Here is a 13,275-nt window from a genome sequence, read left to right on the forward strand (position 1 = left end):
TAGTGCTATGATAAACATGCAGGTGCAGGTGTCTTTTTGATATATTGCTTTCTTTCCCTTTGGGTAGATAGTAGTGGGATTGTTGGATGGAATGGTAGTTCTATTTTTAGTTCTTTGAGAAATCTCATACTGTTTTCCATAAAGGTTATACTAATTTACATTCTCACCAATAGTGTACAAGCATTCCCCTTTTTCCTGCATCCTTGCCAACATCTGATATTTTTAGACTTTTAAATAACAGCTATTCTGATGGTATAAGATGATATCACATTGTGGTTTTAATTTGCATTTCAAGCTGAGAGATTTTCAAAGCTGATTTAGAGAATTGGCTAACTTAGGACTTACTAGTACAGTACTCGGTCATGTTCTGGAAATGTGGTGTGTCTTGACTGGGGAGAAGACATCCAAGAACGGTGCTTCAAGGGCAAGATGCTGACCAGGGCCTTGCTGCTTTAAAGGAAATCTGGTGTGCACTGGAGTTTTTCTGTGACTAATACCATTCACCAGTTCATGACCACTCTCCCAAGTACCCCATAACCACACTGCCGAACGTCTATTGTCATCAACCCCACTTCCCAATTTGCAGACGAGAAATCTAAGACTCAGAAAGGTAAGTGATTTGCCCAAAGTCACACAGCTAAGAAGTGAGAGACTCAGGATCTGAAGACAATGCAGGAGAAATCCCCGTGATTCATAGGGATGCATGTTGGTTCATTTCTCTGCTGACCCGTGACGGGCCAATGTGTTTAGACCTCTGGAGGGTTAAAAAGCACTTCGACATCTGTTACTACATTTAATCCAGGTAAGTCTGTGCTGTGGTTCTTTTTATTGATCCCATTTTACAGATGAAGAAGTGGAGGCTAAAGTTCTTTTGTGGTCCATCTTTCTGTGAGTTGAGATATCCAAGCCATGCTCAAACAAGTATAGCAAACAAATATGGTTAAGAGCAGATAACCCAAGGCTGACTTGGAACCCTGATTTTCCCACTCCCAGCTGTATGGCTGGAAAAGAGGTAAGTGGGGAAGACAGGATTTGAGAAGAGGGTGAAGCACTTTCTAAGCAGAGAGAAAGAGGGCCTGCCTAAAACAGTGAGGGGGCAGTAGGGGCCCGTGGTGAGGAACAAGGGTCTTGGAATCATTTATTTGCACTTCATCTTGCCTCTTATTCATTTGTGACCTTGGGCCTTTTGCAACCCCAGGTGCCTAAAACCGGGCCAATAAAACCTATCTCAGAGGGTAGCGGTTACGAGCATCAAGTAAAATAAAGTGCTCAGCCGAGCGCTCAGCTATGGTCCAAGCCCTACCACGGAAGGCGTCATCTGTGTAGAGCCTGGGCTGGCCGAGAGTCTGAAGCCACTGGAGTCTGGGAAGCCCAGCAGTTCCTCAGGGACAGCTCTTGGGTCAGGAGTGATGAGATCCAAATGACCTCTCAGGAGCCACATCTGGGCTGGGGTCACTGAGCCTGGGCCACACTGTCTGAATGTTACCCACGGCCAAGGCTTCACTCCCGGGGGCCACAGACATGGGGCTCCTGGTGTCCCGTCCTCAGGAGCTGTCTTCACCCTTGGCAGGACAGGCTTCATCCTTTGCGAGGCCCAGTGCAAAATGAAAACGTGAGGCCTCTTGTTAAAAAATTATTAAGAAATTCAAGATGATTATAGCAGAACATTAAACCAAGTGTGGGGCCTGTCTAAGCAGGGACTCTGTGCAACTGACCAGGTCACAAAGCCAAGAAGCTGGCCCTACACTTGGCCACACCATCTCTTTCTGGACATCTGAATAAACTCCAAACACCCCATTCAATGGTTAGGTAGTCTGGTTCACACAGCAAACAACTGGGGTTTGGAAACATCCATTCTTTAACATATTCACTCTTAAAGCATTTATTAAGTGCGTTGGGAGGCACTGGCAAGATCAATACTTTCTTCAAGAAGTTCAAGGTCTAGTGGGAGAGACAAACACATATAAACACACACGATAACTAGCATGTTAATAATTCTACTCATTTAGTCAACAAATAGTTATCACTACCTAGCAGGCCAGGCAGTGTGCTGGGGATCAGAGACACAGACATGAATCAAATACTGTTAAGAGCGCAGGATTTGAGGCCGAGCTGTTGGGGGTAGAATCCTGATTCTACCATTTACTGCCTATATGACCCTGGGCAAATGACTTAACCTCTCTGTGACTCAGTTTCCTCATCTGTAAAATGGGAATAATAATAGCACTGTCCTCTTAGGGCTGTTCTGTTGTGAGTATGAATAAGTTAATCCTCATAGTAAAAGAGCTAATATGAGTAGATTTTTAGAATAGTGCCTGGCATATAGGGTGTGCTATGTAAGTTGTTATTTCTTCAAGGAATTAAGTCTACTGTCAGATAAAGACATAACACACACCCAATGACACAGTTATTATTATTACTATCTTTTAAAGACTTTTTTTTTTAAGACGCAGTCTTGCTCTGTTGTATTTTTAGTAGAGATAGGGTTTCACGGAAAAAAAATAAAAATAAAAATAAAAATAAAAGAGAGGCTGGAGTTCACCGTGTTGGCCAGGCTGGGCTCGAACTCCTGACCTCAAGTGATCTGCCCTCCTCAACCTCTCAAAGTGCTGGGATTACAGGCATGAGCCACTGCGTCCAGCCCAGTTATTAGCTAATCATGTCTACCATGTCCCACACTTCGCGTGTGGCACTGGGGGATCCAGGGAAGAGTGGGATGTTGTCTCTTTCCTTCCCAGGGCTGTGGGTGCAGGGCAGCCCAGCCAGGACCCTGTTAGGATCAAAATTCCATTTCAAAATACGTTCTTATTACTTCTCTATTTTGTGCTCTGTTGAATGACTTGGGGTGAACAGATGGGACGTGGAGGAGTTTACAAGGTACTCAGTGCAACACAAAGTGCCACCCACTGTCCAGGGAGCGGGAGAGGGGCGAGCGGAGAGTGGAATAGTTTCCCCTTTTCATCAGGGACCTTGCTGTCATGTGGAGCAGACATAGCTTTCAGCCTCTGGCAGTGCGCATGGCAAGACCGAGCAGAGCAGAGCCCCATATTTGGCTGGGGAGAAATTCACTCCATCACACACCCTCTGACTCACCTCCCAACCCAGCACCCTGGGGCTGAGCTCACAGGCCTCTGACTCAGGCACCGTGGGGCGTCCTCCTTAGGGGGGAAGGGGAGGGGGCTGTCCCGGTGCCCCTCCTTTGGCCTCCCCCTCCTCCTCAGCCTCTGCATTTCACGGTCTGAGCTCTTTGCTGCTTCCCCCACCTTCCCCTGGACCCCTTTCCACAGAGCACTACCATCCACCCACGTCCAGACGCCGATTCTGCAAGGACTGACTTTTTCACGGAGAAATTCATCCTGGCCTCTCCTCACAAACAGAGCCAGGATGTGCTGGGGTTTGGATGGGTGGGTGAAATTGCTCATTAGGGGAGGCGAGGCAGTGCTGTGCAGTGGAAAGAAATAGAGATGTGGGTGCCTTTCCTGGCCTGTGTGACCTTGGGCTGCTTATGCTCCTCTCTGGGCCTCTGCTGCTAGAAGCGTTGACGAGTTTCCAAGGACACAGGAGCTGTCCAGGCCAGCCAGTGAGGCTGGGAAGAGCGCATGCTGATGAGGAGCTGTCTTTTGGCCCCTTGCCTCTCGATGTGTGGTCCTGGGAAGGGCAGCACAGGCATCAGCTTGGAGCTTGTTAGAAATGCAGAATCTCAGGCTGCACCCTGACCCACTGAATCAGAATCTGCATTCTAACAAGATCTGCTGATGATTCCTGTGCACACTGAAGTTGGAGGAGCCCTGCAAACTTGGCTGCACATTGTAATCTGGGGAGTTTTAAAACATTGTGATGTCTGAGACCCACTCCCAGAGATTCTGATTTCACTGGGCTGAGGTGTGTCCCGGGCGCCTTCAAAGCTCCCCAGGTGATTCAAAGGTGCAGGAAAGGTGGGGAGGGCTTGCCCTAGTGAGTCAGGATGATGCTGATGTTCTGGGTTCCACACTCAAATGCACACAGTGTCCGGTCAGGTGCAGAGATGAGCCAATCAGGCTGGGGTCAGTGCATGTGAACACGTGGTATGATGGGAGGGGGCTGCAGAGGATGGAGGACTATTGCCAGGACGACAGAGACCAGTGGCTACTGAGCTGCCACTGACTGCCCCCATGCCTGAACGCACGCGCACCCAGGGACCAGATCATCCAACTTTTCAAGAAATGCCAAAAATACAGCTGTTAGCATGATGCCTTCTGATTTTAAAATGTTGGCTCAATTGTATTTCAAAATACAGTGTGGTCTAAACAGAAAGCTGGATGTGGCCCAAGACTTGCTGGTTTGTAATGTCTGTCCAGCCAGGGTGACCAACTGTTTCAGTTTGTCTGGGACTGTCCTGGCTTTAGCACTGAAAGTCCTGTATCCTGGGCCAATCAGGTTATAGGTCTTGATGCAGTGTAGCTTAATTTATTTAGGAGACTTGATTTTGGAGTTCCCTCTCCCAGGTTTGAATCATGTGGCTCTGTCACTCACTTGGTCTGCGATCTTGGTCACCTCGCTTATCTCTGTATGCCTTAGTTCCTTCATTAGTCAAATGGGGATAATAAAAGTATCTACTTCATAGGCTTGTGTTAAGAATTAAGTGAATTTCTATATACAAACTGCTTAGAACAGTACCCGGTGTTCAGCAGATGCTATGTGAATGTTAGCTATTATTATTTGGTCTTAAAATCAGAGGACTGAGCAGGAGAGAGTAAATGCTCACTGTAAAACCATCTAACTTCACCAATTTAAAAGTCTATCAGAGATTGTGCAGTGAAGAGATACAGGTGAGAGGTAAGGATACAGAAGACCTGGGCTTATAGTCCAGCTCTGCCACTTATGAGCTGTGTGACTTTAGGCAAGTCCCTTAACTTCTCTGTGCTTCATTGCCTCTGTTTTAAGTTGGAATAACCACAACTACCTTCAGGACTTCTGTGAGGACAAATGGGGTGATGTGGGTGAATGTGGGGGCCCACCTGGGAGAGGAGTGTTTCTGGTAGTGCATTGATGCTGCCTCTTCATGCCTCAGGAATGTCCAAAAAGAAAAGTTCAGGGTGATTTTTAAGGAGTGGCTTCATTGTCAAGATATATGAATGCTTCAAGAAATTCAATCAGTCACTTATTACTACATGTTGTATCATCTCATAAGGAAGTCCAATATGTATTGTGCCAGGGTGAGCTTTGGCCGTTCCCGTGGTCAGAAAGCTAAAGCCCTTATAATGTTCTTATTAGTGTCTGCTGTCCTTCTCAAAAATCAGCCCTCAATTTTGATCTACTTTTCATTTTAAAAAATGGTCCTTTGCAAATCGTTGGTTGTGATTTTTCTGCAGGATTTTTACCTTTTTATTTTTCCATTTGAAAAATCATATCACAGTTGAGCACATTGTTTAGGAGCCATGTGACTAATGAAATTTGTATTTGTTAACTATTGTTGTGTAATGAACCATAAACTACCTAAAACTTAGTGGCCTGAAATAACAGCTACCTCTTTAGTCCTTGATTTTGCCGGGCAGCTCTCTGGTCTATGTTGGGTTTGGAGGATCTTGGCTGGGGCTGCTCATATGTCTGCAGCTGGCTCAGGGGTGTCTGATCTCAGATGGCCTCACTCACAGATTGGCTGGCTGTTGGCTCTTGGTGGGAGTAGACCACATGTTTCTTATCACCCAGCAGGCTAGCCTGGGCTGTTCACATGATGGCAGGGTTCCGAGACCCTCAGTGGTCATTGCTTTCCAAGCCTGTAATTTGGTCTTGTTTGTGGCTTTTCCATTGGCCAAAACAAGTCACAGGGCCAAGCCCAGAGAGTATTGGGAAGGTACCACCAAAGAGAGGTGAACAGATTAGGGCAATGACTGAAGTTATTCTACGACATGATTTTCAATTAAGAAAATACCAAGTTATGTAGTTAATGACTACATTTTCTCAACCAGTTGACTGGAGACAAATTCTTTAAAATATCCATGAATTGACTGTGATGGTCACAATAATCAATTAAAATGTTTACTTTTTTCTTGTTTTACATTCAAATTTTATTGCTTTCTCCGGATTTTAAGAAAATCAGCCTTCCTGTAAAAAGTTTGTTAGAGAAAAGTATGCTTTAGGAAGGATGAATTCTTTATAATCTTGCCATTCCAGAGATACTACCTGTTAACAGCTTGGTATATATCATTTCAGTTTCTTTACCTATGTATATCCTAATTAGCAAATGACATATGTAATTTTCTTTTACAGGAATTCTTTTATTCAATAGTTATTTATTGGATGCCAACTATGTACTGAGGGGTACATATTGGAGAACAAGACAGCAAAGCCCCTGCTTGCTGGAATGAGATCCTATGATAAATATAAAAAGCAGTTTCCCCTCCTTTTCTTAATATACCTTGATATCAGTCCATGTGAGTGTAACTATCACCACTGAATGTTTCGTTTGTAGCAGACACTGGGATAAGGACTTTGCATTCATCATTTCATTCCAATACTCACTAGAACCCTATGAAGAATGTACTTTCATTATTCTCATTTTATGGGGAGGATATTAGGCATAGAAAAGTTAAGGAACATGAGGCAGCTAGTTAGTGGTGAAGACAGGATCTGAACCAGATCCAACATCTGGCTCCAAAACTCACAATCCTAACCACTTTGGCAAACTGACTCTTGGTTCAGATAGATTCACTTTTTCCTTTATAGTGGTTGTGTAGTATTTCATTAGGAAAGCATATTAAATAATAAGTATTCAAGGTATGTGTTTCCTTATACTTAAACTACTACCTACCTTTCCATATTGTCCCAAGTGCTTGATGTGTTTTGTTCTTTATGCCACCTAATCTCTCTTCCTTCCTGTTCGTGATTAACTTCTATTCATCCCTCAAAACCCACTGCAAATAACACTTCCGTCCGAAAGCCTCCTTCAATCTATGATCTATATTAAGTACCCTCCTTCATGGTTCCACAGTTTTCAGGGCTTTCCTCAATCATGGCACTAATTTTTTTTTCCCCTGAGATGGAGTCTTGCTCTGTCACCCAGGCTGGAGTGCAGTGGTGTGATCTTGGTTCACTACAACCTCCACCTCCTGGGTTCAAGTGATTCTCTTGCATGGCACTAATTTTTGCTGTTGTGAACATTTATTTGGCTGACTCTTCCACTTGGTGATGGGCTATTGGAAGGTAAGTCTCAGTCTTATTTTCTTTTGTGGACATACATAATCCCAACACCTGGCACTTGCTTGGGGCATGAGAAACCGTTATTCATTGTTAGTTGAATTATTAATAAGTGGACTTAGCATTTATGGCACAAATTTTATTAAAATTAATTAATAGAGCTAATTTATTGGTGACTAAACCTGTAAATTAATTTTTTAATAGGCAGGTTCTTGCACTGTTGCCCAGGCTGGAGTTCGGTGGTACAATTACAGCTCATTGTAGCCTCAAACTCCTGGGCTCAGGCTATCCTCCTACCTCAGCCTCCCAAGCTGCTAGGACTATACCTGTGCCCCACCATGCTGGGCTGATTTTTTTATTTTTAATTTTTTTGTAGAGATGGGGTATTGCTATGTTACCTAGGCTGGTCTTGAGCTCCTGACATTGAGTGATTCTCCTGCCTCAGCCTCCCAAAGAGCTGGAATTACAGGTTTGAGCTACCATGCCCAGCCTAATTTTTTATTATGGAAAGAACACATGCACATGGTAAAACTTCAAAAGCAAAGGACATGCCAATGAAGAGTAATGTTTTTCCATTTCACACCCCAATTCTACTTCCCACAGGTAATTACCTTCAATAGTTTTTTTATGTATCATTTTCCTAATTTCCCGTGTATATAATCCATACACTATCACAAATGGCGGCATACTGTAACACTGTTCTGCACCCTAACTTTTACATTTACCTGTCTTGGATGTCTTTCTACATCAATAAAACTGGTGTACTTTTTAAAAGTAGTCACATGGTACTCAATTGTAGGAACAGTGCCATTTTTAGATTAGTTGACTCTCATGAATGTGCTTTTCATTTGTTTCTAAACTTCCTTTGTTGGGTTTTTGTTTTTTTTTTTTTTTTTTTTTTAAGACAAGGTCTCACTCTGTTGCCCAGGCTGGAGTTCAGTGGTGCGATCATGGCTCACTGCAGCCTCGACCTTCAAGGCTCAGGTGCTTCTCTCATCTCAGCCTTCTGTGTGGCTGGGACTACAGACAGGCGTCACCACGCCCAGCTAATTTTTTGTAGAAATGGGTTTTCACCATGTTGCCCAGGCTAATCTCAAACTCCTGGATTCAAGCAATCCAATCTGCCTACCTCGGCCTCCCAAAGTGCTGGGATTGCTGGTGTGAGCCTCCACGCCCGGCCTCTTTGTTGCTTTTTACTGTTAACAACATCTGCTACCGTGAACATTGCTGTATTTCATTTTGCTTTCATATTTGAGTATCTCTAGGAGAAATTCCTAGAAATGGAAGAGTTTAAAAAAAATGACCCTGCTCCAAAATTAATAGGAGGAAAAGGATACAGAAAAGGAATTGCACTGAGTGCCAATACCTGAGTTCCGTTCCTGAATTTTTCATTTGCCCTGCAGAGGACGCATGGATTTTAGCTGCCAGCATCTGAACCCCATTCCAAATTTGGAGGATTGTGTGATGATTGCTATGAGCAAGGTCCTGCTACAAAGATAAAAGGGCTTTAATTTACCCCATGAATGGACAACTTATTATTATTATTATTATTATTTTTGAGACAGATTGTTGCCCAGGCTGGAGTGCAATGGCGCGATCTTGGCTCACTGCAACCTCCACTCCCCGGGTTCAAGTGATTTTCCTGCCTCAGCCTCCCAAGTAGCTGGGATTACGCCTGGCTAATTTTGTATTTTTAGTAGAGATAGGGTTTCAACTTGTTGGTCAGGCTGGTCTCAAACTCCTGACCTCAAGTGATTCTCCTGCCTCGGCCTCCCAAAATGTTGGGATTGCAGATGTGAGCCACTGCGCCCAGCCGGACAACTTATTTTAACTAAACTCTTAGCTTCTTTGCTTTGGCTGGAATTAAATCATCAAATGCTGGTCAGAAACTTAGACTGGCTGTTGATGACATCCTAGGCATTCCTGGAATATGATTAGCAAATCAAAACCATGGCAGCAATGGTGCCCAAAATGAGCATGTCCAGTTATAGACACCGCATACACACACACACACACACACACATACACACACACACACAGACTTGGTGAATAAGAAGTGGGGAAATATATTTGTTATTACTCAACAAGTGCAATTTGTTTGTTAGACATGATCTTTCAAAACATGAGGTCCAAAGGGAAAAATTATGAAAGGGCCCTGGAGAATAAAAAGTGTGGGAATCATTGCTGTGGTCCAGCTGTCCGATGGAAGACTTGATTCTTAATATCTCCACCAAATGATCAGCCCCTGTTTGCCTCTTCTAGTGACAGGGAACTCACTACTCTCTGATGCAGAGTAGATGCCTCACCTGGGTTCAATGCCTTCTATAGTTTTCCTTTGCCCAGTGGAGTGTGGGTAAATGTGATTTCCCACATTTCCAGGCCTGGCTGTGTACACCATAAAATATCCCTGATTCTCGTTCCCTTGGCACAATCTTCCAGGCTTTCCCCATTTCTCATGGCTAGATGATTCCAGGTTGACTTTGAAGTCACATGATGGGAGACACAATACCAAGCAAAGTAGGTCCCTGAGTCACCCTTTTATAGCAGATCCTCTTGACCAGAAACAAGAGGCATGAGATGAGAAATACAACTTCTCTAGTGTTAAGACTCTAAGATTTTGGGGTTGTTTGTAACAGCTGTCAGCAATAATCATCCTGAGGGGCCAAAAATAACACTCGTTCCTTCTCCTCCTGGGTTGAGAAATGAAGATAGAAATAAATGATGTTTTTACGGATAAAATTTGGGTTGGAGAATGTGCAGAGGTGTGGCCACAACAATGGCCTTCATAATACTGCTCCCTGGAGTTAGACAGACTTGTCCATCCCATCATTGGCAACTCTGTACATTCCCAGAGTTCCTTCTTATGGTCATGCTTTTGTAGATATATCTTAAAGCAGCTCCTAAAAAGAGCAGACTTATTTGTTTTTTTCTCCTGAACTCATTGATCAGATAAGTGAATCCACCTCTCATGAGGAGGGAGCCTAGTGAGGAAGCAAGACAGGAAGTGTTACCCTGGATAAGGTCCCTCTGCATGGAAATAGAAGAGACAGGAAGTGTTACCCTGGATAAGGTCCCTCCTCATGGAAACAGGAGGCCAGGAAACCAAGGTTCCCACCCAAGGTTCCTTTCAGACATAAGAGTTACTGAGTCCCTGTGAGTATAAGCTCCTCGAGGACAGGAGCCATGTCTCCTCCTTGTGCCTTTCTCATAGCACCTAGCACAATGCTAGGCACGGAGACAGTGCTGAGTCAATGCTTGCCTATTGACCAGTGACACCTCATGAGCATACATGACATTTCCCCCACTGGTTCACTTCAGAAGGAGGAGAAATTGCTGTGGTCTGACCCCTCACACTGCCAGTCCTTGCCTAACCCAACAATTTGGGAGTGTGAAAGGCCAAGCTAATGACCCAATCCTTCCTTGGGGAGATATCAGCCCTCTCCTTCTGCCCACCAAGTCCCATGCTGGGCAAGACACTTGACCTTGCTGAGTTCCTGGCCAGCACATCACCCTGGGTGTCACTGGGTACCTCTGAACCCCACTGTTGGTTGCAAGTTTCTGAAGTCAGAGACTGAGTCTTATTCATGGTATCAGTTGAGAAGTACCTTCAGCAGGCTGTGGCTGAAAAAAGATAGGGATTTATTCTTTCTCTGCTAAAGGATGTCTAGGGTAAGAAGACAGGCCTGGAGTGACAGCTGTGTGACATCTTTGATGTCACAGACTCCTTTGACCTGTTTTCTTTACCATCCTTAGCTCATGGCTTCCATCCTCAAGGTTGACTTATGGGTATAAAATGGCAGTCCCAACTCCTATGTCCACATTCCAGGTAGCAAGAAGGAGGTGGGAGAAAAAGTTATAAGGCCCCAAGCTGAGTCTATTCCTCTCCTTTTTTGGAAGTTCCACCCAACAAAGAATGCCTATACCATGTTGGCCAGAACATAGCCAAATGGTCACATCTCTGTAAAAGGGTGCCTGGAGAAATACGTGTTTTCAGTTGGTCTCATTGCTTCCTCTACAAAATCAAGATTGTGTTAATAAGGGAGGAAGGGAGAGTGGGCAATGGCAGGCAACTCAGTCTCTGCCTCACTCATCTCTATATCCCTGGCAGCACCGACCACATAGTAGGTACATATATGTTTCATTTATTTATTCATTCGTTCATTCTTTCAAAAAATATTTACTGAGCATCTGCTTGGAGCAAGTTACATGTCTTCACATCAGAGAGAGAAACAATGCAAAATAAACAAAAGTATAATATAATATTAGGTAATAATAAAAGCTATGACACCAAATAAAGCAGGGAAAGGGTTTGGGGGACAACGTTAGAGTGAGTGGTCAAGAGTGGCCTTTCAGAGGAGATGCTGTTGAAGCAAGAACTGGAATGAAGGAAGAGAGTGAGGTATGTGGGGTTCAAAGGGGGAGAGTGCTCCTGGCAGAGGCCCTGCTATGGAGGTGGGCTTGGCACATTCTAGAAACAGAAGGCCAGCAAAGAGAAGTAGTCAGGAGCCAGATCATGTTTGATTATAGAGACTTTAAAATTTCCCCCCAATAATTCTCCTATGGATACATCCTAGAGCACTATGAATGAGGGGGAAGGTATGAGAGACTGAGCAGGGGGGTGCTGTGTTCAAATTCAGCTGCCTCCCTCTTCTGTTTTCTTTTTCTGATCACTCAGACATATGTTAGATGCTGTCATTCTATTTGCTGTTTTTTTTCTCTCTGTCTCTGTAGTGCAGTGTGGATAATTTCTTTAGATTTGTTTCCACTAATTTTCCCTTCAGATGTGTTAATATTTTGTTTAAGCAATACACTGGGTTTCTAATTTTCATTATTATACCATCTCATTTTCCAAAGATTTTTGGTTCTTTTTCAAACATGCCTGATTGGCTTCTTATTCCTTCATCATGCACTCATTCCCTCTTCTTATTTATTTATTTATTTATTTTTGAGACAGGGTCTCGCTCTGTTGCCCAGGCTGGAGTGCAGTGGTGTGATCTCAGCTCACTGCAACCTCCGCCTCCCAGGCTCAAGCGATTCTTGTGCCTGAGCCTCCCGAGTAGCTGAGATTACAGGCCTGCACCACCACACCTGGCTAATTTTTATATTTTTAGTAGAGATGAGGTTTCTCCATGTTGGCCAGGCTGGTCTTGAACTCCTGGCCTCAAGTGATCCACATGCCTCGGCCTCCCAAAGTGCTGGGATTACAGGCGTTAGCCACCATGCCTGGCTCATTCCCTCTTTGATTTCATTAAATACATCAAGTTTGACTACTTTATGGATTGTATCTATTAATTCCAGCATCTGCAGTCCTTGTGGAGGGGGCACCATCGTTGGTTGATTCTGCTGACTCTCCCTTATAAGGATCTGTTTATTTGTGTGTTTGTGTTTTATGATTGTGACTTATGCTCCTATGAACAATATCTGTGGTAATTCATTGAAGCTTAGTTTTAAAGTATACACCTTCAGGGAATATATATGGCTTGCTTCTGCGAAATACCCAGGTCTATTTAGATTCTTCGGGCCACACAGGACATGTGAATAGTGGCCTCAAACACACTGTGAATTTGGGCTTGTAGTCAGAAATTCTTAAAGGAAAAAAATTTTTTTTCTTTGTTTCTGCTCCACCAAGAGCCAAAGCCCAGACCGGCACATTTCAATCTGTGGAGTGAATGTTTGTTCCTCATTTATTTACTAAGGTGTGTCATTCTTGGGAGTTCTAACTTATTATGAGAATTTTCAGTCTGACCTCCAACCTTGCTAGGGCCTCAGGCCTTGTTTTCTACTCTTCCCAACAACCACCCAGTGCACAAGGTCTGTGAAGATGTTGTCTTTTTGCCCCTGTAGAACACATACCCCATTGGCTCCACTGTCGGTCTACCCTACAGATTCAAGCTTTTTTATTGTTGCTGGCATTTAAGGGATTCCCTTTCTCTTTTGCTAGCTCAGCCATTCATAAAGGAATATGGTTTTAAAAAGACTTTATTCATGATTGTTATTGTGCTAAACAGGGAGGGTTTCTGATATATTTTATAAAAATTGCACAGCCATATTTACATTTTAGAGGGTCATTTTAGGTGGTAGGAAGAGAGGGGGTTACAA

The 13,275-nt window shown here is 43.9% G+C and overlaps 1 long non-coding RNA gene across 1 annotated transcript in view, besides 1 other annotated feature; it reads left to right on the forward strand.

The window, feature by feature from the left end:
• LINC02964 (long intergenic non-protein coding RNA 2964) overlaps positions 1 to 13,275 on the forward strand; it is a 160,228-nt gene that overhangs the window by 33,525 nt on the left and 113,428 nt on the right. The window lies entirely within an intron of this gene.
• Positions 3,362 to 4,099: an enhancer, noted in NCBI's record as "H3K4me1 hESC enhancer chr8:126569037-126569774 (GRCh37/hg19 assembly coordinates)". NCBI's record gives its function as "activates a minimal SCP1, AML or CMV promoter by ChIP-STARR-seq in primed H9 embryonic stem cells {active_cell/tissue: H9 hESC(primed)}" and the evidence as "EXISTENCE:reporter gene assay evidence [ECO:0000049][PMID:30033119]".

Source organism: Homo sapiens, chromosome 8 (genome assembly GCF_000001405.40).
Source record: "Homo sapiens chromosome 8, GRCh38.p14 Primary Assembly".
Classification (NCBI taxonomy): Eukaryota; Metazoa; Chordata; class Mammalia; order Primates; family Hominidae; genus Homo; species Homo sapiens.